This window comes from Homo sapiens, chromosome 2, assembly GCF_000001405.40.
Source record: "Homo sapiens chromosome 2, GRCh38.p14 Primary Assembly".
NCBI classification, from domain to species: Eukaryota; Metazoa; Chordata; class Mammalia; order Primates; family Hominidae; genus Homo; species Homo sapiens.
The window spans coordinates 48592876-48617797 of NC_000002.12; the positions used below are offsets into that span (position 1 = coordinate 48592876).

A 24922-nucleotide genomic window follows, 5' to 3' on the forward strand; every position below is an offset into this window, starting at 1 on the left:
AAGTGCTGGGATTACAAGCGTGAGCCACCGTATCCAGCCTGGTATTATGGTAGTTTTAAATGTTTGCCATCAGCTCTTCTGCATTCTTAGGCAGATGAACTAAAGGAGGACATACACTTACATCTGTTTCTAAACTTGTTTTCCCTTCTTATCCTCAAGTTTAGTAGATATATGGATGTCTCCTGCCACATATTTCCCACAGTATCTTGAAATGGTGATGCATCTTGCTGATTTTGTTTAAAAGGTTTTCTTTATTTTGAGACAGAGTCTTGCTCTGTTGCCCAGGTTGGAGTGCAGTGGCATGGTCTCGGCTCACTGCAACCTCCGCTTCCTAGGTTCAAGTAATTCTCCTGCCTCAGCCTCCCGAGTAGCTGGGATTACAGGTGCCTGCCACCACGCCTGGCTAATTTTTTGTGTTTATAGTAGAGATGGGGTTTCACCATGTTGGCCAGGCTGGTCTCGAACTCCTGACCTTGTGATCTGTCTGCCTCGGCCTCCCAAAGTGCTGGGATTAGAGGTGTGAGCCACCACACCTGGCCTAAAAGTATTTTTAACTAGAAAATATTTCAAAAATCACAAAAATTAAATAGTGCATTACAGACAGGTGGTTCAGTTTAGAATGTATGTTTCCCTTCTGTCTTTCACATGAGCAACATTTTATAATTTCTAATAGCATTTATTTTATTTTTAAAAATTTAAATTTTGCCTGTTACACAGCCCTCAGGAGGTCCTGAGAACATGTGCCTCTCAAATAGCATTTTAAAATCTATGTGTTGCTTGACTTGCAGCAAAGATTAATGCCATTCTGATTTTCTACTAATTTATTTCTATTAAAAATAGTGATATTATACATGACATCGCTAATATCAACTGGGTTTCCTATACTATAGTAATGTGAGTCAGGATTTTTCTTTATTTTGGACTATCTGTTTAGAAGTCTATGTTTGGGTCCAGTTATCTTTTTCTACTGATAAAAGTAATGATAGGTAGTGCTGTCCTGTGCAGCCCCTTCAGACCTGAAGGATGTATTTCCCCAGCAGGTGGGAATTGCCGCCGCTGAAGATAGCTGCCTTTCCTGAGGTCATGCCTCCTTCCTGGAATCTATGCAGGGGTGTATAGGCCCCTTTGCATCAACTTGGGCTAACGCTGTAGGTCAGCCCAGCTTCAGCTCTCCAGGGCATGGACAGAAGCCTTCATTCTGACTACATTGCATCCCAGCTTCTCTCTCTGCCCATTTAGCTTCATTTCCTGCCTCACTCCCCCATGAATGTTGAACTCAACGGCACTCTCCAGTAAACTTTCTGCACACAGATCTCCATCTCAGAGTTTATTTCTTGGGGAACCTGACCTATAACACTAGGTATATATATATTATGTGTGACTGAAATGTGGGTCAAGTGGCATGGAGACTGTGTTTATACTTATTTTCCTATTCACAGGGCATGCCAGGTTCATGCAATTTTAGTGGACAATTAAAAATTACTTTACAAAGTATCTCTTGCTTTAGTAGCATTTACTAGTTGATGTGCACCTGGTGGCAGTTTCAAAATGTTTTCTTCCATTTAGTAATTATCTGTTGCCAGATACTGCTCCACATGCAGGGACACAGCAGTGTGAACAGAGAGACAAAGTCCCTGTCCTCATGGAGCATAGTTTCTAGTGGGGGTAAACGAAAAATAGTTAGTAGATAAATAAATAAATAAATATGATTTCAACTAATAACAAATTCCAAGAAGGTAATAAAATAGGGTAACGGGATAGAGAGTGACTGGAGGGCTTTATCAGGGGTAGTCCTGGAGGACCTCCAGGAGGATGTGACATTTGAGCTGAGACAAAAATGATGAAGAGCAGATGGTTTACTATTAGGTTGCTGCAAAAGTAATCACGGTTTTTGCCATTAGTTTTGCAGCAACCTAATAGTTTGTAAGATGGCTTGTTTCAATTAGATAATTTTGGGTGCATTATAAATCTTAAGGGGGCCAATGGCTAGATACATGATACAGCCATATATTCAGGTAGAGGGATAATTGATCATATGTCTAGTCAGATCTGTAAATTTTTTTTCAGTATACATATTCTGTATACATTTTATAAAAACTACGTTTGACTTAGAAGACAGTTTTGGTGCTCTTGAAGACTTGACCCTGGCGGGGAGGATTTGAGGGGCTCTGTTGTTCAAAAGGAGAGCAGAGCGCCTCACTTGGAAGCTACTGTAGGAGGGTAGAGGGCTGTGTCTGTGTCCAAAGGGTGAGGTTTGTGCAGTCTGTGCCACATGTATAAAATAGGACTGAAGAGGTGTGAGTGCTGTGTTGCATTTGTTAATGCTGCCTGTGTTTTGCTTTTGCATAACAGGTTGAAATAGAAAAGAAGTGGATTAAAATCGATGGAGAAGACCCAGATAAAATTGGTGACTGCATAACTCAGTAGGAGTAGCAAGAGTTTATGATGACAGCCCACTTGTCAAATATGTAATTCACCGAAACCACACCAAGTCCTGCTACTGTAGAGTGGAAATGACTTCTGAATAGCGGTTTTAGGACAGGTCTGATGGCTGTGTTTAGAGAAGTTTAGACCTAAAACCGAACAATCTGTATTTTTTGCTTTTCATGTGTTTTTGTCCTAGGGGTTCGATCTAAAATGTTTCTATAATTCGTGTGATGTTTTGCTTCCTATTGAAACTCAAAGGCACTGTTACTCGTTGTGTGACCCCGCAGCCAGTATGATTTTTGATTACTCAGTGGCTGACTGTTTTGCTCTCTGGATTACTGAGGTGCCGTCTTCATTTCTTCCCATCTCTTCTTGCTGCTTAGTGTCTGTACTAGAGGGTAAGGGAATCAAAGGAGACATAAACCAAAATAGTTAATTTTCCCTCTTTCTTGCCTCTGAAATGTGGCTAGGTGTAGAATGATGTTGAAACCACAGGCTAAAATGTAGATCTGGAAGTATCTGTGCTTTTGAATTACTTATTTACCTGTCCTCTTACCGTTGGTAAATAATAATTGGCTATATTTGGTACCTGTCTCTCTCCTACTGTATTGTCATTTTCAAAATGTGTTTGTTTTCTGGCGCGTGCTGCAAAGAAGCTATTTCTGTTGTCCTACATATTTTAGTATAAATCACTAAGACATATTTCCTTTCACTTGGCAGGATTCCTTTCAAAATGGAATCTGAGTATTAGACACTAGTTAACATATTTGTGTATATTAAATATGAATTTTTAAAATTTATAAATACTATTTTCCAAAAGTACAGACTCTAAGGACATATTTTGATAAAGTATTATTTGTAATGAACACAAGCCTCTCTTGAGTAGAAGTCTAAATCACATTATGATTATTTTATACTAGTTCTGCTATCATGCTGTTTTATGCTAATTCTGCTTATTTTAGAGTATTTTTCATTAAAAGGTGAGCAAAGTGAAAGATACTTGGTATTTTACCCAGATTTCTAAGTGGCAACATTTTTATTCTTCAGAGTCAGGTAAATGACTATAATAGTTTGGTTTCTAATGAAAAGTCAATAGCATTAGCAGTTATAATTCTGTTTATAATTTCCTTTCAGCATTTACAGTGAAAAGTGAGAATTTTAAAATTTATGAAATCTATATTCCAGGTATTGTTTTTAGTCTGAAAAACAAACTCCCCCATGTGGTATTAATATACCTTCAATTTATGTTGAGTCTTAAACATAATTAGGAGATATTTTTCTCTATTTGCTAGATTTGTTTTGAGTCAAAACTGATTTAGTGTTCTTCCAAACAACATTTATGTGTTGGCCTACAGAGTTTATTTCATGTGTTTTTTTTAATATTTAATATTATATTACATTCATTGAAATCTGTTCAAAAACAGATTAAGACAAACATTTATGATGGTCTGTATCAATCAGCAGATTTTATTGCTTTTCATTATTTTACTGTAAAGGCAAAGAATGCAATAGGTGATGGTTGGTTGAAAGGAATTGTTATTGCTGTTTTTATTTTTTACTTTTTTTGAGACAGAGTCTCACTCTGTTGCCCAGCCTGGAGTGCAGTGTGTCATCTTGGCTCACTGCAACCTCCGCCTCCTGGGTTCAAGGGATTCTCCTGCCTCAGCCTCCAACTAGCTGGGATTACAGGCACAAGCCACCATGCCTGGCTAAAATTCTTTTGTATTTTTACTACAGACGGAGTTTCCCCATGTTGGCCGGGCTAGTCTCGAACTCCTGACCTCAGGTGATCCACCAGCCTCGGCCTCCCAAAGTTCTGGGATTAAATGCGTGAGCCACCATGCCCGGCCGCTATTGCTCTTTTTAACTTCATTTGATGCCTTGCTTATAATATCATATGCTTGAGGCTCACTGTTGATGTAGAGTAGGGCAAATCTGTGTGTGTATGTCATTAAAAAAATTCTACCATCTTTCTTTATCATCTGGTGTGGGCGCACTCTACAGTGACTTCAGTCTGCTCAGAACGAATGTGGAGGCCGGCCGAAACTGATGCTGCCCACAGTCCCAGTGAAGTTAGGTGGGTTAATTACTGCCATTCCTTTCTAAGTGTGTTTTATGGCATCCTGCCCACAAAGAACTCACAGTCTGATTAGGATGAACTTAATGACTATTTACACCTCAAAATATATTCAGCAAAGGGTTCACTTAGTTGCCCCTCATGCTTCACAGGTTGACTAGTATCTGTGGGTACCTCCCTGCCCAGGTTATTCACTCACAAGCCACCGGGCCTTCAGGACATCTCAAGATTCAGTCTTGACAATATAATAGCAAAAGCTGGACTAAAGCCCAAATGGATTGTCTGTGGCAATGCAGAAGCTGATAGCATTAACAGCAGGGTGTTACAGCATAATTGTTAATTCGCACATCTATTAGGATCCTTAAATATTCATTACTTAATGTTAAATTAACATTCTGTGTAGGGAGGGGAGGCTTATTCAATTCTTCTGACCTCAGAACTGGCAGAAGGTCAGATGTGACTACAGAACTCTAGGTGAAAAATCAGGTAGGGTTCAAATTAAGTAGAACTGCCCTTGCCGGAATAGTGATCTTCAAAAAACCCTTGCTTTTAGGGGAGGGAAGCGGGGAAGGAAAGGAATGAGGGAGGAAATATTCCTTTCTAGCATTCATTTTGCTTAGATCACTCCATTGTGAGTTTGACCATTTTGGAGTCAAATGAGCAGACTTCCAAGGAGTTGACCAGTTTGTGACTAGTCTGGTCACCTTTCCAGTTACAGGATCATATTAACTGTGTAAATGAATTCATGGGTAGATGATTTGTGCAGATCTGAATTTAAGAACATTTCCTTTTTCTGTGGGAATCACAAGAGTTTATCCACTAAAAAAAGATATGTAAAAAAGATACTTTCCAGCACATAAATAAAGGCTGGAATTTTACAACCTGATGTATATATTAGACAGTTCTAGGATGTTAGTTCCCTTCATTCCAGAGCTATGCTTGTGATACAGCCCCTTTTCTTATAAAGTCAGTTAGAAGGACTTCCTTAACAATGACTATTATAATGTCTTACTTAAAATACAGTTTTGTATTCTGTCAATGCAAATATAAGACAGGTTGAGCCTTAATCATGTAACAAAATATTTTGTAGATTACATATTGATTTTTCAAAAATTAAAAATGTATTTCAAACTATTCTTACTGTGCTGTGAATTTATATCTTCTTCTGCAAGACCTGGGGCTATTTTTTTTTCTTAAGGTATGAAATCAATTTCAATAACCTTAAACAATTGACCCTCTGTCAGGCATATGTCAGGCTCCACTCTTAAGGAGTCAGTGACCATGACCTCTTTGCATATCCTGGAAAAATGACATCATCAAAGTATAGTTGATAATGTTATAAAGGATGATTTTAAAAATAGGGTATAATCATGACTCACAAAGATATGAGGCTGGGTGTGGTGGCTCACGCCTGTAATCCCAGCTCTTTGGGAGGCTGAAGCGGGTGGATCATGAGGTCAGAAGATCAAGACCATACTGGCTAACACGGTGAAACCCCGTCTCTACTAAAAATACAAAAAAAAAAAAAAAAAAAAAAAAAAAATTAGTTGGGCGTGGTGGCGGGCGCCTATAGTCCCAGCTACTGGGGAGGCTGAGGCAGGAGAATGGTGTGAACCCGGGAGGCGGAGCTTGCAGTGAGCAGAGATTGCGCCACTGCACTCCAGTCTGGGCAACAGAGTGAGACTCCATCTCAAAAAAAAAAAAAAAAAAAAAAAAAGAAATATATGAAATGAATACATGCATAAGATTACCACTATTCAAAGCCTTTCACAATTTTTCCTTGAAAACAGGAAAAACTTTGTCCACAGAATTCCATGGAATTTTCAACCTTTGGCAACTTGTAGAGTAGTCCTGTAGAATTAATGTGCACCTAAAAGCCACATTTTTAAAGTTTAGAAAACCAGTTTTACAAAATTGCACAGAATATATATCAGGTAAGATATACGTGTGGGTGGTAGGGAGTTGGGGGAGAGTGGAGGAGAGTTGTGCGGGAGTGGAGGGAGGCTGTAGGAGATATGAAGGGAATCAGTGCTTATAAAGGACGAACCTAACAACCTCTCCACCCTCCTTTTTATAAGAAATCTGCCTTGTGTTGAAATTAAATTTTTATTGAGCTACTAAAGTTAATATTTCAAAAAGGCATCAGTACTTCATAGAAGACAGAGCATGAAGCACCATTTTAGCCACTGCTAGCACTCACAAGGCTTGGCCCTAGTTCTTCAGGAACAGCAAAAGGATTGACTGGCAAAAACTGACCATATTTGTAACAACAGTCCTCAAAATCCCATCAATCAATTCTTCCCTGTTTTGTCTCAACTCTGGCTAGACTGTCCCACCGCTTTTGTGTAGACACAGGGTAGATTTTGATGTTGTCTCTCCTAGACCCTCCCCATCCTCTGCAACTACTGTATTCCAAGGAACTTATACCCTTAGCCAGGGCCCTAAAACACAGGGTTATGTGTATTCTGTTGAATCATATGTAATCGCCAATATTTACCTTTCTTGATGGGAATTTCACGGGCTCAATCTAATTATCCACATATTTCCCTAGGTCATATGATACAAGCACTTTTTGTTATCCTGCTTAGAAATGGCAATGAAATATGAATTTGACTAATTTTTAAAGCAAGACAGAGTTGCTAGTCAAGAAGCAAATAGTTGAATTACAAAAATCCATAGATACAAGCTACAGATAATATTGTGCCTTTAAAATCATCTGTAAGGAATGTAATCATTTTCCTCTGTAAGGAAAAGGAAAACTGATTAGATTAATTGCCCCAAGTTTTAAAATATTTCAGTTCATTTCCGTGAGACTTCCTGGGGAAGAAAGGCACAGCATCATTAGACTCTGGGTTTTGCTGCTTACCCTTCATGTATCTGCACTCGCACAGCCTTCCAAACTTCAGAGGGAAGAGTGGCTTCTTTAAATAATATGACTGTGCGTGTTGACATTTTCCTGAGAAGTCCCTTTTGTAGAATCCAGAATTGTGAACTCCATGAAATGTAATTTGCAGTACATTCTTTAAACAGAAGAGGGTGCTCTCGGGCAAGCTGATGCTACCCAGCTCTAGAAATATAAGCATTTAAATTTGGTGGTGCTTGTATTATGATTAGTGCAAGATCTTGGGGGCATTTAATAAAGCATTTCAAAGCATTGTGAGTCCAGTGGAGTATAATTAAAATTAATGCAATAGACAAACACATTAAAGTATTCTTAATGCCTAGTCTAAAAATGCTGTCAAATACAGTTTTACACATCCGAAAGATTTAAATACTATGCTTGTCTCTGAACATTTCTAACTGTTACAGAGAAAGAAAAACAGTGTCTTCCTTCTCCACAGGTTTCAAACAAAATTTTTCTAATGAGAGTTAATAAAATCTTCTTTCTTTAAAAGATTTATAAGATATTATAATTAATTCATCCTGCTTTGGCATGTGTCAAGGTCAATGTGGTCTCTAAAAATCTCCAGTCCAGGATTGTACTTTCAGCTTCTTAGGTAAGAACAAGCAAAGATATATGCTTTCAGGAGAATATTTCATGCTGCCTTGACTCAGGGACAAGCCTTGGTTCTGTTTCAGTCCTCAGAAAGGAGTAATGAATATTGTTCTTTTCAAGATGGGCTCTGTATTTCTCTCAGAAATCTCCCTGGGTGGATGTTGTTGTTTTTTGTAAAGCCAGTTAGGACACTCTCTTTCCAAAAGTCTTATATCATGAGTAGTCTATGAGTGTAGCTGTACGCACGCAGCATTCCCAAAGCCTTCTGAAGTACAGAAGGCTTCCTAAAGACATTGGCTGCCAGTTTGGCACTCTGAGTCACCTCAAAATGCTATGTGACCTTCGTTCCAAATAATCATCTTGCTGATCATTCTAATTTTCTTAAGTGCTTACTATATGTCTGCATTTTTCTAGGTACTAGGGACAAGTAATTACAAAAACAGTTAATTCCTGCTGTTATAGAGAGCATATAATAGTGGGGGAAGTCAGGCAATAAATATCAAGTTGTGATTATTGCTATGCAGAAAAATAAAGCAGGGTAAAACAATAAAGAGTGGTAGAAGCGTGCCATTTTAGATAGGTTGGTAAGGGACGTTCTCTTTGATGAGATGACATTCTAGCAGCGAGACCTGAAAGAAATGAGGTAGAGTGCCACTCAGATCCCCAGGGAAGAGTGTGTCCAGCAGAGGGCTCTGCTAGTGCATAGGTGCGGGACTCGGGGTGCTAACCCGTCAGAGGAACATCACAGAGGACAGATGGCTGCTGGATGGCCATATCGGAGTGAGCAAGGGGGTGGGATGGAGGTGGAAAGAGATCAGAGAGATTGTGGGGAGGTGGGGGAGGCAGACCACCTAGGGTTTTGTGGGCCATGGATTTTACTCTGAGTGAGATGGGAGCCCCTGGAAGGCTTTGTGTAGAGGAGGGGTAGAACTTTGTTACATGTTAAGATGATCGTGTGGACATAAAAAGGAGGTAGAGGCAGAAGCAAAGAAAGTAGTTAAGAGTCTATTGCAGTATCTCAGGTGTCTTAGTCCTTTCTTGCTGCTATACCTGAGACTGAGGGATAGCAGAAATTTCTCACAACACAAATTTCTCACAATCTTGGAGGCTGGGAGGTCCAAGATCAAGGTGCCAATAGATTCAGTGTCTGGTGAGTGCCTGTCTGTTTCTTATAGTAGGCACGTTCTTGCCGTGTCCTCACATGGCAGGAGGGGCAAAAGGGCTCCCTGAACCCTCTTTTATAAGGGCACTAATCCTGTTCATAAGGACAGAGCCTTCATACCTAATTACCTCCCAAAGGCCCCACCTTTCACTACCATCATCTTGGGGGTTAGGTTTCAATATATGAATTTTGCGTGGGACACAAACATTCAGATGATAGCATCAGGTGAGAGGTGACGGTGATTGAGAGTGGTGACAGGAGATGAAAAATGGTTGAATTCAGAACATATTTGAAATATGGAGCCAATAGTATATGCCGATGGATTAGATGTGGCGCGTGAGGGAAAGAAGGGAACCAAAACAACTGCCAGATTTTTGGCCTGAGCAACGAAAGAGTGGAGTTGATTTTATGGACGAGGGGAAGGGTGTTGTAGGAGCAGGTTTTGGGGAGAAAGATCAGGAATTCATGTTTGGATGTGTTAACTTTGAGATGCCTATTAGACGTCTAATGGAGACAGCAAGTAGCAATTGAATGTACAAGGCAGGAAAGAGGGCTGGGATAAAGATGCGCCTCTTAGAGATATCAGCGCTTTCAGCCATGGGACTAACTGGGATCACCTGGGAGTAAATATACACTAGGAGTGGGCTGAGAATTGAGCCCTTGGGCTCCCTGGAGTTTAGAGGTCAGGAAAATGAGGGCAATGTCATAAAGGACACTGAGGAAGAGTAGCTGGAGTAGAAGAAAAAAGAGAATGGCATTCATTCCAGGGGTCAAGTGAAAAAGGATGTAATGAGTTTCCTCAAATGCTGCTGCTAGAGTAAGATGAGGACTGAGAGTTGACTACTGAATCTAGCAACATGGAAATGGTGACCTTGACAGAAACAGTGTCACTGAAGTGAGAGCAATGGAAGCAAACTCAAGCAGGTTTGGACTCAGGGAGTAAATGGCTTTGTAGGGGAAGCAAAATTTCCTTCTACCCTCTTCAGTTCTGTTGTTGGTCCAAGAATTAAACTGACATAAGACAGATTAACAGGAGAAAAGCATACCAATTTTATTAATATTTTTACACGGACGTGGCAGTCTTCAAAAGGGAAATGAAGACCCTAGGAAGACAGTAGGCCGTGAAGCTTATATACATTTTCACGCAAAGAACAATAAATTATGGGGATGTGACAAGACAAAGGGGCTTGGGCTTGGGGCATTAAATTGTAGGACAGTGCCTAGGAAATACATGGGGGAAATTAACGAAAGACAGGGTCGTTTTGGTAGTTTGTTGTGGAAGTCCATTTCGGCATCAACTCCTAGTCTCTGGTGATAAGAATGTTCTCTTCCTAGTACAGGGAAGGCACCTTTTTCATGGAAAATTTTATGATCTGTTTTTAGGTAGAAATGAGGAGGTCAGAGAGCCTATGTTAGTTTGTTTTGCATCGCTGTAAAGGAATACCTGAGACTCAGTAATTTATAAAGAAAAGAGGTTTAATTGGCTCACAGTTTGGCAAGCTGCTCAAGCATGGAACCAGCATTTGCTTGGCTTCTGGCGAGGCCTCAGGAAGTTTTTACTCATGGCAGAAGGTGAAGCGGGAGCAGGCATGTCACATGGTGAGAAAGAAGCAGGAGCGAGAGGAGGAGCTTCCAGGCTCAGCTCTGCATGAATGAACAGAGTGAGAACTCACTCATTATCGCAGGGACAGCATGAAGACATTCATGAGGGATCTGCCCCCATGACCCAAACACCTCCCACTAGGCTCATCTCTAACACTGGAGGTCACAATGCAACATAAAATTTGGAGGGGAAACACATCCATACCATATCAGAGCCCTTCTGCATGAGCTGTTTCTCAAGTGCCTTCAGATTAAAATAATCAATATGCCAAAACAGCATATTTTGGGATGGCACGAATCCCTTCAGCCCCCTTTTTTTTTGGGAATAGAGTCTTGCTCTTGTTGCCCAGGCTGGAGTGCAGTGGTGCCATCTCAGTTCACTGCAACCTCCACCTCCCAGGTTCAAGTGATTCTTGTGCCTCAGCTTCTCAAGTAGCTGGGATTACAGGTGTGTGCCACCACTCCCGGCTAATTTTTGTATTTTTAGTAGAGACAGGGGTTCACCATATTGGCCAGGCTGGTCTCAAAACTCTTGACCTCAGGCGATCCACCCACCTCTGCCTCCCAAAGTGCTGGGATTACAGGCATGAGCCAGTACACCTGTTCCCCTTCAGCTCTTTTGAGGAGTTTTGCTGTCAATATGAACACTGGAACAGTGGCTGGGGAGGATGAGATCTCAATACTTCCCTGACATCCCTTAAGACTCAAGTCTTGATACTTTGTCTGCTCTCTGGCTCTTTCTTTGTCATTACTATTATTTTTATCTTCTTGATGTTGACTCTTGCTAAAATTTTTTGTCTTCCTTATTGTTAATGCTTATAGAAAATGATTCCTTGTTATCTTTTAGCCCATGTCATCCGAATCATTTGCTGTTTCTAGCCTAGGTGCTTTGACTATGCCAGCTTGTATTTCTTCAGAATTTTCATTAACTATATGTGTGGTATTGTAGGCATTACATATTTTAAAATAAATTTAGCCATTGCTTCAATCACATCCTGCTTTGTTTTAAAATTTTTCTTGGTTGAATTTCACTGGGTCAATGTCATTTCATATTAGGATGGTAATCCCACTTCAAATTTTCTTATCAAATTCAGAATAATTATAAACCAGTTGCTGGTTTCATAATCTTAAGAATGCCAACAAAGTTCCTGCAGGATAAAAAAAGCACACCTATTTATTCATAGTTTTTATATCTACCTAATAGTTTGAACTTCGATTCTTTATTATAGATGATACACTAATATTCTATGTAAATAATTGTCCAGTAATTAATAAGTGAATTTTAATAAAATTAAAGTATCTGTGAAAGGTACAATTTAGGCAACTGTGAAATCATACTATTAGTGGGATATTTTATTGTTTTGATTCATTATTTATTTTAAAGCTGTTTTGTATGGTTCAAATAAGGAGGTGATCAAAATATTATTTCACGACTCACATGGCTTATTGTCACACACAGGGAATTTTTTCCATGATGTTTAAAGAGGGAAAGAATCACAAGAACAAATCTCATAGGGAATACACTTGATAGATGAAGTACATTAACCATGTAATGAATGAGTTCCAAAATTACTAAAGCCTAGTTGCTCAATTAGGATGAATGCAGGCTCTATGGAAAGTGAAAGCTAGTTGAAGTGTCAGGTATGAGTGTAAGAGAGGATTTTGGGAGAGATAGCTTGATCAGCACAACAGAGATCCATGCAGACACAGGAGGTCCCTCCATGCAAGAGTGTGGGTGTTGCTGCTGAGTCTTCGGAGATGACCCCAAAGGCTAACAGGATGTAGTCCTGCCATACCTGGAGCTCACGATCTTTGGAGAAGCAACTCAACAGAGTGCAGTCATGCCATGGCCTAATCTCTCAAAGTGTCTGCCAAACTATTAGATTTGTAGGTAAGTCATGCATTACTTACCAATGGGAAAATGTACAAAATGAGAAATGTGTTGTTAGGAGACTTCGTTGTTGTGCAAGCATCATAGAATTTACTGACACAAACCTAGATAGTATAGCCCACTACACACCTAAGCTATATAGTATGGTCTATTGCTCCTAGGCTACAAACATGTTTTTGGTAACAGCATGCTACTATACTGAATACTGTAGGCAGTAGTAATACAATGGTTTTGTGTATCGAAACATATCTAAACAAAGAAAAGATACAGTAAAACTATGGTATTATAATCTCATGGGACTACCATTTTATAAGCCGTCCCTCATTGACAGAAACATTGTTATGAAGCACACCACTGTATTTTGGAGTCCAGTAGTTGAAGTCAGTAGTTCACATATGGGGTTTGATAAGGTGTGATGTAACATTCTCGGAGGAAGTGGGAGTACATCGCAAGTTCTTATCATAGTAAAACATATGTCACTCATAGCAAACTATACATGTGTTAGGAATAATTTCAAAGCTGTGCAACAAAAACAGTTCACAATTAAAATAGAAGAATAAACTTCAATTTAAAAATATTATTACTCAAAAATAGTAAATATTTAATGTATAAAGTAATGAAACAAAACTTACTAAACAAAAATATTACATCTTGCAATTCACACTCCATTTTAGTCTTTTAAATTTAAAGATACAAATAAAAACTCCAAATGGTCACATAGAATGACAGAATTGAAGTAACCTAAGTTTGGCTGGGCACAGTGGCTCACGCCTGTAATCCCAACACTTTGGGAGGCTGAGGCAGATGGATCACCTGAGGTTGGGAGTTCAATACCAGCTTGGCCAACATGGTGAAACCCTGTCTCTACTAAAAATACAAAAATTAACTGTCCATGGTGGTGGGCATCCATAATCCCAGATACTTGGGAGGGTGAGGCATGAGAATCACTTGAACCCAGGAGGCGGAGGTTGCAGTGAGCAGAGATTGTGCCACTGCACTCCAGCCTGGGAAATAGAGTGAGACTCTGTCTCAAACAAACAAACAAACAAACAAAAAAATTGGCCAGGCACGGTGGCTCACGCCTGTAATCCCAGCACTTTGGGAGGCCAAGGCGGGCGGATCAGTTGAGGCCAGGAGTTTGAGACCAGCCTGGCCAACATGGTGAAGCCCTGTCTCTACTAAAAAGAACCAAGAACAACAACAAAAAAAACTAGCCAGACGTGGTGGCAGGGTCCTGTAATCCCAGCTACTCAGGAGGCTGAGGTAGGAGAACTGCTTGAACCGGGGAGGTGGAGGTTGCAGTGAGCCAAGATCGCACCACTGCATTCCAGCCTGGGCGACAGAGCAAGACTCCATCCAAAAAAAAACAAAAACAAGAAGTAACCTAAATTCTATTTCTTCATCTTTACAATCACAGTTTATTTTAAATCTATTGTTTAAATCCAAGAATACATGGTACCAAAGGAATAGAGACACAAATTGCACCTGGACCATTATGAATCCCGAGACGAATATGGGTATCAGTCCACATGTGTCAGAGGTCCAAGTGTATAACTGGGAGTTCTCCAAATTAACTTCTATGTAGGATACAATGTTTATTATACGCTAAGAAACTAAAAAAAAATGCTGATTTGAATCTTTCATTTGCATTATTAAAACTCAACAATTATTATACTTATTGTTTAGAATGCGTGCCAATATTAAATAAAAAATTGGTGGGGAGGGGAGATAGAGTATTTAATTGTGGACATTCTTTTGCCAGAATTGCCAGAACATGGTGATAATCAAAAGCTGACTGACTTTCTGTTGTTTCATCATTGTGTTTAAATTATCAGTAAACAATGCTTCTCATTATTGCCTGTGCCCAGGACTGCCCACTTCCCCATACTTGGTACACCACTGGATTGGCAGTGATCCACTGTTGAAAGGAATTGGCAATGATCCACTGGTGAAAGGAAAATTAATGATGCAGCAGGGTGCAGTGGCTCATGCCTATAGTCCCAGCACTTTGGGAGGCTGAGGCAGGTGGATCATCTGAGGTCAGGAGTTCAAGACCAGCCTGGCCAACATGTCAAACCCGATCTATTCTAAAAGTACAAAAATTAGCCAGGTGTGGCAGTGCATGCCTGTAGTCCCAGATACTCTGGTGGCTGAGGCAGGAGAATCGCTTGAACCCGGGAGGCGGAGGTTGCAGTGAGTCAGGATCGTGTCACTGCATTCCAGCCTGAGTGACAGCGTGGGTGGGGAGGGGGGAGGAAAAGAAAAGAAAATTAACGATGCAAAGGAGAGAGAGAGAGACAATTGCTAAGGCCATATCTCTGAGCAGATGAGAGGGGAAAGGACCCAAGGCGCCAGCAGAGGGGCTGACAGATAAAAGCACAAACAGTTCATCCACGGCAATGAGGCAAGACAGAGTCTATGGGTACGGATGAATGCAGGCCTGTCATCTAAGGTGTTCTTTCTTAGTTTCTTTCCCAGAAGTGGAACAGGGGATTCAGAGACTTTTCACCATCCCAGAGATGGAGGATCCTGTTTCTTTAAGGACTCTTTATTACCGATTTTAATTTTCTTTTTTTCCCCCTGGGTTTTTTTGTTTGTTTGTTTCTGTTTTTGTTTTTTTTTTGAGAGAGAATCTCACTCTGCCACCCAGGCTGGAGGGCAGTGGTGTGATTTCAGCTCACTGCAGCCTCTGCCTCCTCGGTTCAAGTGATTCTCCTGCCTCAGCCTCCCGATTAGCTGGGACTACAGGTGTCCGCCACCATTTCTGGCCTATTTTTATATTTTCAGTAGAGACAGGGTTTCACTATATTGGCCAGGCTGGTCTCAAACTCTTGACATCAAGTGATCTGCCCACCTCGGCCTCCCAAAGTGCTGGGATTACAGGCGTGAGCCACTGTACTCAGCCCAATTTTATTTTCTTGAAAAGTTTGATCACTTCCTTTAATATGTGTTCTTTAACCGTATTTTTTTTTTCATGGTAGAGGTTGCCGTGGATGTCACTGGTATTAATGCTTCAATATCAGCTATACTGACTCAAAAGAGGACATTATTGTGATTTTAGAACTGAGATGATCAATTCCCTCTAACAGGGAATAAATGGTTAAGGCAGCTCTGATTTGGGAAATACATTTGTGAGCACTCTAGAGTTCAGTTTCTTTTTCTGCTTTTCATCTCTGAGAGAGACGCTACAGAGCTGTGAGTGGCCGGGTGGGGGTGGGAGAGGCCGCCCGGGAGCAGTGCTTGTCCTTTTCTGTAGAGTTTTATTTTGATATTTTCACACTGCTCAGAGAGAATTCCATCCAAAGGTCCTCAAGTGCCATGAAAAGGACAAGGAAAGAGCATCTTTGAACAGTGGCATTGTTAAATGCCAAGAGCCTGCCTCTCCAGTGGATAATTTTGAGATATTCTGAAACACTTTTCAAAGGCTTTGCCAAGTACTCATTGTGGAAAAGGACACATTCTATATTAAACTCTCACTGGGATCAGAGATGGCCTTGGGTAAGACTGTGACCTAGACGATGTTTGTAGCCCTCTTTTTCTTGCCTCTTCCTCCATCAGTGATGCTCCAGTCCCTTCCCCCACACCTCCTCAAGGCTTTTAGGGTCTCCCTGCCTCCTTCTTTTTGTCTTATATGATTGAGTGCCACGGAAGGGTAGATGTCAGTAACTTAGATCTTGGTGTTCTTCTGCTGCAGGCTTTTCCAGTGGAGCTACTTATTCCTCCAAACCCCACAGACCTTTAACTGCTTCTCTACCTTCAGTGTGGCTGTCCTCCATCCTCCAGTCCACCCTTTGTGCTGCAGTCAGGAAGGGACACATTATCTTGCATTTGCTTACCAGTGAGCCTTAGCTTTCACCACAGCTTGCCTTATTCTCTACCCTCTAGCCAAACCAAACAAACTGCTCTGTTTTCCTCAAACCCATCATGTTCTCAAACCCTGCATGTTCTCAAGCCCCAAGTTTTGGCTGATACAGTACCCTCTCCCTGGAATATTCTTCCTTGCCCCCTTCCTCTGTCTCCTACTCATTCCACAGACCTCAGTTTAGGGGACCAATTCTAAGAAGCCTTCCCTGGCCCTCCCCATTCAGGTTAGGTGAACCTCACAGGTATTTTTTTTGGTACTAATCCTGTTATATTGTAATTACTTGCATCTTTTTCTTTTTGCCCACCCTCTTTGGGATTTTGACTGGGGTGGCTCTGCCCAGTTATTTCTCTTTTTCTGGGAAGAGAACCATCTGCAGGGGTGGTGGTAGGTGATGGTAGGAGCAATGCCAGTGATATGGGGCTAATCCCCTGGCCAGAGATTACGACCTATGTGTTCAATAAGAAACACTACATGAATGAATGATCGGATAAATTTAGATCAATGCACTACTTTTCTCCCTATGATAGTTGCATTTTAATCCGTAATTTTCTCCCACATATAGGCTAGAAATTCCATTTTATAAGAGCTTAAGAATAAATTCATATCAATAACTTTTAATGAGTGTTTTTCATATTTGAGGTACTATGCTAGGAACTCAAGGGGCATATAAGAATGAATAATACACAGCCTAAGCCCTCAAGAAATTTAAAAATCTATTACACTTATGGTTGCAAATGTCCTTTAAAAAATAAACACATACACATATCCAAGGGGTTGAAAAATATTAAAATATTTGTTTTAAAATTTGATTTAATCTTGTTTTTGAAAGCTGGTAAAAGTGGAGAGGAAGCACCCTTAGCTTTTTAGCACCTGTTGTTTGTCTGGGACTGTGTTTTCTCATTTAATAGCCAGCAACTTATGAAGGAAGTGTTACTTTTCTCTCTCTCTTTTTAAATTTTTTTTTGAGACTTAAAAAATTTTTTTTTGAGTCTTCCTCTCTCTCCCAGGCTGGAGTGCAGTGGCCTGATCTCGGCTCACTGCAACCTTCCCCTCCCAGGTTCAAGTGATTCTCATGTCTCAGCCTCCCAAGTAGCTGGGATTACAGGTATGCACCACCATGTCTGGCTAATTTTTTGAATTTTTAGTAGAGAAAGAGTTTCACTATGTTGGTCAGGTTCGAACTCCTGGACTCAAGCAATTCACCCACCTCGGCCTCCCAAAGTGCTGGGATAACAGGCGTGAGCCACCGTGCACGGCCAAGGGGTGTTGTTTCTCATCATGAAATGAAAACATCTCTCTTGTTAAAGGTATCTTGGAACGCTTGTGTGGCTGTAGATGGCTTTTTTTCTTGTACTTGAAACAATATCCCGTGCTTAATTTCCTTGACCTGTCCATGTAACAATAAGATGTAACTTCAAATGAAAAACATTCACATAAAGAATCATTCACTAGCTCATCCCATGTAAACACATATAAGCAAACACTGACGTTGCCACTTTCAAAGCCAAAAGAAAATGCAATCACAAGTAGGGATGATAGTGGTAGGAAAGGGGCCACAGTGGTTTTCTGTGGTGTTTGGATAGAATACAGTGGTTATTGTCTAAAAGTTTTCTGTCTTGATGACCCTTTCTTGGTCCTTTGGCTAGAAAAAGCAAGCTTTTTTATGTTTCCTCTCTGACCATTGGTATTTCTGGGTTGCCAGCTTCTCCAGCACCCAATCTAGGATATGGGAGGCAAAAAGAAAATCAGAGAACTCACTGCTATGTGGCTGTTGGGATTGCGAGGTCCATAATTGGCCTGCCATATTCTCCTCACTTTTCAGAGTCTTCTTATGTTTGTTTAGATATATAACATTTTAGCTGTTCATAGCAGAATGAATAGGAAGAAGTGTGTTTATTTTATGTTGTCCCTGCCTCTCCGAATATTTGAAGCATCTAAGACAACAGAATAGAACAGTCAAGATGCTGCCACTTACCTCTTATAAAATGAGACAAATTAGGAAAAAAGAAAAGCACAGTTATCGAGGGAACAAAGCTGGTTGGTTTTCTGCAGGTCATAGCCTTAAGTTCAAATTATTTGTCTTTATCTCCACCTTGTCTAGGTTGGAGAATTAACTGGAGACAATAAACATTATTGTTGCTAATATTTTATGTACATGTATGATTATATGCATTACGATTAAAGAAATGAAAGTATAACCATTTGTTAGGTAGGAAATTACTGAATCCTTATCAAGACCTTGATGAGAATGTTGAAAAAGTAGTGATGAGGAAAATTGTGTTTGAAGTCATCCCACATACTTTTTATGAGTTAATTATAATTAGTAATACGTGCACGATATATACATCTCTTGAATATTAAAATATTTTGAAGTAGGCAGTCATATACTCATTAACAGTGTTCCATTGCATTGTGTCACATGGTCACTTTAACTGAAATCTTGTTGGAGTGGGAGGAGGAATTCATCATGGTGGAATAGAATCAGATGTTCAAATAAAGCAAGTTGATTTTGGAGCTGTATTAGAAAATTGAAAATGTTACAAAAGTGCAGAGTATAAAATAAATCAGAACTGCCAACACTGTAACCATTTCAAAGTTACAGGGTGAGGCAGAGATTATCTGGATTTTCATTTCCTGTAAGATGTAAAGGATGAAACAGGGTCAGAGAAACACCCTGGGTTTAGTGCATTGGTTGCAAAATGTTCAGAAGTTAATTATGAATATTTGCTGCCTTTAGTCATATGCTCAAATACCAACTTGTATTTTAATCACCAATAAATAATTAGAGTCTATACAATTATTGAAATACTTTGTATTTGACTGGAAAGTTTAATACGTAAAAAATAATGGGCTGCCTCTAAAATATTTTTCTTTCCTTTTTTTCTTTTTTGGGACAGAGTCTCACTTTGTCGCCCAGGCTGGAGTGCAGTGGCATGATCTTGGCTCATTGCACCTCTGCCTCCCAGGTTCAAGCAATTCTCCTGCCTCAGCCTCCTGAGTAGCTGGGATTACAGGCATGCACCACCACACCTGGCTAATTTTTTTATTTTTAGTAGAGACGGTTTCACTATGTTGGTAGGCTGGTCTTGAATTCCTGACCTCAGGTGATCTGCCCGCCTCGGCCTCCCAAAGTGCTGGGATTACAGGGGTGAGCCACTGCTCCCGGCCTTTCTTTACATTTTTATCCAACAAAAGGACTTCACAAATATGGCCTTTGCTCACAATAAGCAAAGTGAAATTATTTCTTTACTTTCAGAAGAGTATCACTAACACCTCCAGGCAAAAGTAGTGAGGACACATGGGGAAGAAAATTAATCTGATTATTAAGATTTGCTTAAATGTTGCAAAAACTGGTATTGATTATCAGTAATAAACATATATATTATATATTATGGTCTCTAAACAAAGTAGGAGAAAAATGAAAATCTGATGCTCCAAATTGTGTTGGCCAGTTAAGGGGGAGCTTTATGCTTTGGCAGAGGTGTAATTCAAAGGAATAGGTACTTAAAGAAGGACTAAGTTTTGGCATTTCTTTTTTATTCATTATTTACTAACAAAAAATAGCCACTGTAAAATTGCCTCACTGAGGCTGTAGGATCTTGAAATTTCAATTTTACCATCAAAAGTACCTTGTAGGCTGGATGTAGTGACTCATGCTCATAATGCCAGCACATTGGGAGGCTGAGGTATGAGGATTGCTTGAGGCCAGCAGTTCGAGGCTGCAGTGAGCTATGATCATACCACTGCACTCCAGCCTGGGTGATAGACCTAGACCCTGTCTCTCTCTCTAAAAAAAGTGGATTGTTTATGCAACATACTTCCTCTCTGAGTTTAAAAAATTGACAAAAGAAATGTAACCATCATGACTATACTATTCTGCATATTTCATGATAATTTGATAAGCTATCAAACGTAAGTGTTAAAAGATTCTTTTACATACTTTTCAAATGCTCTTGTGACTGGTGAGGTCACTCAAGACACTTGAGATTACAATGAGGGACAGTCCAATCAGAGAATGGGTGCTGGTTTAGTTATTTCACACTGTGTAACAAATTATCCAAAATGTAACTGCAAATAAAATTACAGATATTCATGATCTCATATAGCTTCTGAGGATCAGGAATCTAGGAGATGCTTAGAGCGTAGATTTGGTTCAAGATAACTCAAAGATATGTAGTAAAGCTTGTCAGGGCTGCAATCATCTGATAGTTCAACTGGGGAAGGATCTATTTCCGAACTTACTTATGTGACTGTTTGAGGGTTTCTCATACTTGCTGACTGTGGGCTGGAGTCTCAGTTCCTTGCCAAATAGACCCCTCCATAAGCTACCTGAGTATCCTCATGACATGACAGCTGGCTTCCTCCAAAATGAGAGAGTGAGCCCAAGAAAGAATCCACAGCTATGAATAACCTTATCTCAAAGGTGATATGCTACTACTTCTTCTTTTTTTTTTTTATTTTAATTTAATTTTTTTTTTTATTGATCATTCTTGGGTGTTTCTCACAGAGGGGGATTTGGCAGGGTCATAGGACACTAGTGGAGGGAAGGTCAGCAGACAAACAAGTGAACAAAGGTCTCTGTTTTCCTAGGCAGAGTGTTTGTGTCCCTGGGTACTTGAGATTAGGGAGTGGTGATGACTCTTAATGAGCATGCTGCCTTCAAGCATCTGTTTAACAAAGCACATCTTGCACCGCCCTTAATCCATTTAACCCTGAGTGGACACAGCACATGTTTCAGAGAGCACAGGGTTGGGGGTAAGGTCATAGATCAACAGGATCCCAAGGCAGAAGAATTTTTCTTAGTACAGAACAAAATGAAAAGTCTCCCATGTCTACTTCTTTCTACACAGACACGGCAACCATTCGATTTCTCAATCTTTTCCCCACCTTGCCCCCTTTTCTATTCCAGAAAACTGCCATCGTCATCATGGCCCATTCTCAATGAGCTGTTGGGTACACCTCCCAGACGGGGTGGTGGCCGGGCAGAGGGGCTCCTCACTTCCCAGTAGGGGTGGCCGGGCAGAGGCGCCCCTCAGCTCCCGGACTGGGTGGCTGGCCAGGCGGGGGGCTGACCCCCCCACCTCCCTCCCGGACGGGGCGGCTGGCTGGGCAGAGGGGCTCCTGGCTGGGCAGAGGGGCTCCTCACTTCCCAGTAGGGGCGGCCGGGCAGAGGCGCCCCTCACCTCCCGGACGGGGCGGCTGGCCGGGCGGGGGGCTGAGCCCCCCACCTCCCTCCCGGACGGGGCGGCTGCTGGGCGGAGACGCTCCTCACTTCCCAGACGGGGCGGTTGCCAGGCGGAGGGGCTCCTCACTTCTCAGACGGGGCGGTTGCCAGGCGGAGGGTCTCCTCACTTCTCAGACGGGGCGGCCTGGCAGAGACGCTCCTCACCTCCCAGACGGGGTCGCGGCCGGGCCGAGGCCCTCCTCACATCCCAGACGGGGCGGCGGGGCAGAGGCGCTCCCCACATCTCAGACGATGGGCTGCTGGGCAGAGACGCTCCTCACTTCCTAGATGGGATGGGGGCCCGGACGAGGTGCTCCTCACTTCCCAGGTGGGATGGCGGCCGGGCAGAGACGCTCCTCACTTTCCAGACTGGGCAGCCAGGCAGAGACGCTCCTCACTTCCCAGAGGATGGGCAGCCCGGCAGAGACGCTCCTCACTTCCCAGACGGGGTGGCGGCCGGGCAGAGGCTGCAATCTCCGCACTTTGGGAGGCCAAGGCAGGCGGCTGGGAGGTGGAGGCCGTAGCGAGCCGAGATCACGCCACTGCACTCCAGCCTGGGCACCATTGAGCACTGAATGAATGAGACTCCGTCTGCAATCCCGGCACCTCGGGAGGCCGAGGCTGGCGGATCACTGGCGGCTAGGAGGTGGAGACCAGTCCGGCCAACACAGCGAAACCCCGTCCCCACCAAAAAAACACGAAAACCAGTCAGGCGTGGCGGCGCGCGCCTGCAATCGCAGGCACTCGGCAGGCTGAGGCAGGAGAATCAGGCAGGGAGGCTGCAGCGAGCCGAGATGGCAGCAGTACAGTCCAGCTTTGGCCCGGCATGAGAGGGAGACCGTGGAAAGGAGAGGGAGAGGGAGACGGGAGAGGGAGAGGGAGACGGGAGAGGGAGAGGGAGACGGGAGAGGGAGAGGGAGACGGGAGAGGGAGAGGGAGACCTACTTCTTCTTTATTTTAGTGGTAAAATAAACCTACCATGGTACAAGGTAGGAGGGGACAACACCAAGTGGTCAATACCAGGAGGCAGGGATCACTGGGGGCCATCTTGAAAACTGGCTACCACAGGTCCACGTGGCAGATTTGCAACTTGGATTTACCTAGAACTTGTGTTAAAGCATACCTCCTCTAGTAGTCATTGCCTGTTATTGGGAAGAAATGACTAGTGACCATTCAGACAAACTGCAAGGGGCAAATGAAATTTGCTGACATTTCTCTGCTAACATTACATAGCCTCTCCATAACTTGAGTATACTGACTGTACTAAGAAATAACAATTCAACTTTTAGTTACACTTTTTATGGGTACCAAGATCCAAGAATAATTTAAAAAATATACATGATCTACGTATAGTTCTGAGAAGGGCAGAATGTGTAATAAAGTAAAACAGTATGCTGTCACAGAAAGTTAGGTGATTACCAATCCTAAGCATTTAGAAATAAAGCTTTAAAACCTTCCTATGAAAAAGATGGAAAACAAGAGACACTTTTAGCTTTCTTATTTCCCAGCTTGAATAATTTAATTGGATTTTATAATATCAGTAGGAATCAATGACTGCTTTTAGCTTTCCTACTTTGGGTGAAAGATAAGTCACTTTGAACACTCCTGGTAGTAAATTGCCAGGTGGAGAGATATGACCATTAAAATGACCATATATAGTTCTTGGCTTTTTGTAAAAGAAATTTCTAATAGTTTTCAATGTAGGAAAGTTTTCTAAAGGGTATCATATAAATCAGCTACTTGAAACTCACAAACCATAAGGTACCTGACCCAGGCAAATCACATACACAGTGGTAGGGGATAAACAGCTCTACTGCACTTACTTGCACAAATAAATAAATAAACAGCCAATTTTAAATATAATAGAGTTTTTAATCATCAAATAACGTATCCATCTGGTTAGGTCAAGACCTATTTGCAGGATAGAAAGGCTGTTTAGAAGAGTTGTGGCCAAGTGCGGCGAGTCATGCCTATAGTTCCAGCACTTTGGGAGGCTGCGGCTGGTGGATCACTTGAGACCAAGAGTTTGAGACCAGCCTGGGCAACATGGCGAAAACCTGTCTCTACAAAACACACACACACACTCACACACACAAAATAGCTGGGCGTGGTGGCACACACACCTGTAGTCTCAGCTCCTTGGGAGGCTGAAGTCAGTGGGTTGCTTGAGCCCAGGAGGTAGACGCTGCAGCGAGCTGTGATCATGCCACTGCACTGCAGCCTGGGCAACAGTGTGAGACCCTGCCAAAAAGGCAGAGTTGTGGCAACAGATGGTGACTTCTTCCCTTTTCTAATCCTCCAGGTTATCTGTGCTTACATCTTCCCTCAGTCTTAGCTAGGTAACGTATGCCCCAAGATGCTCTGCCCTTCAGGAGAGAGAATTATTGTAGGTAGACAGCTGGTGATTTCTGCCTAACTAAGAAAAGGAGATAGGAACGTATTAGCTGCTGACTTTCTTTTAGCAGTGGTTTTCCACCTTGGCTGCATATTAGAATCAGATTTTGCCGAGTGGGATCCAGGCACTAAACTTTTTTTTAAAGCTCCCCGCGTGATTTTAATGTGCACCCAAAATTGAGACTCTTTGTCTTAGGTCAGGGGGTCTCATGTCAGCGCCCATTGGAATCACCTGGAGAGCATGTTAAAGTTACAGAATGCTAGGCTCCATCCTCCAGTCTGATTCAGGAGGGCTGGGGTGGGACCCATCATTTGCATATTTAACAAGTTCCCAGATGCTGCTGATGCTGCTGTACCACGCTGACAAGTCTTAGAAAAATTTGGCTCTTGTTATATTTTTATACAACAAAAAATGGAGTTCAGCTGTGAGTGGGGTGTAGGGGGAGGAATGAAAATTGGTAAATGCAGAGGACAGATATCACTAGTCTCCCCTCTTTTCTTTCCCCATCTTCTTCAAAGCTGAAGTTAGACTGAGATCTACCCCTGCATTTCCCCTCCTCGATTTTCATCTTTCACGGATTGAGGAAACAACCTGTGAACGGCCCAAAGCCGGCTAGACCCAACCTAACCATCCGTTTTAGCGGGTCTCTTTTCTCACACAGGCCGACCGCCTCTCCGCCTTGACCCCCACCTCCACTCAAACCCGCTCCATCTATTAACGTTCTCTTCTGCCCAGCCACGCCCCCGGCGTTCTCCGTGGTTGCGCACCTGACGTACATCGTTC

The 24922-nt window shown here is 41.9% G+C and overlaps 2 protein-coding genes across 5 annotated transcripts in view, besides 1 other annotated feature; both read left to right on the plus strand.

Annotated features, from left to right (window-relative positions):
- STON1 (stonin 1) overlaps positions 1 to 5638 on the plus strand; it is a 68360-nt gene extending 62722 nt beyond the window's left edge. For both annotated transcript variants that reach the window (NM_001198595.2, NM_006873.4), the window contains one exon: positions 2353 to 5638. In NM_001198595.2, the coding sequence (NP_001185524.1) occupies positions 2353 to 2427 (75 nt within the window). In that variant the 3' untranslated portion in view covers positions 2428 to 5638. The remainder of the gene's footprint in view (positions 1 to 2352) is intronic.
- STON1-GTF2A1L (STON1-GTF2A1L readthrough) overlaps positions 1 to 24922 on the plus strand; it is a 246595-nt gene that overhangs the window by 62951 nt on the left and 158722 nt on the right. The gene's annotated exons all lie outside the window — the stretch shown is intronic.
- Positions 21979 to 22482: an enhancer, noted in NCBI's record as "H3K27ac hESC enhancer chr2:48841993-48842496 (GRCh37/hg19 assembly coordinates)". NCBI's record gives its function as "activates a minimal SCP1, AML or CMV promoter by ChIP-STARR-seq in naive H9 embryonic stem cells {active_cell/tissue: H9 hESC(naive)}" and the evidence as "EXISTENCE:reporter gene assay evidence [ECO:0000049][PMID:30033119]".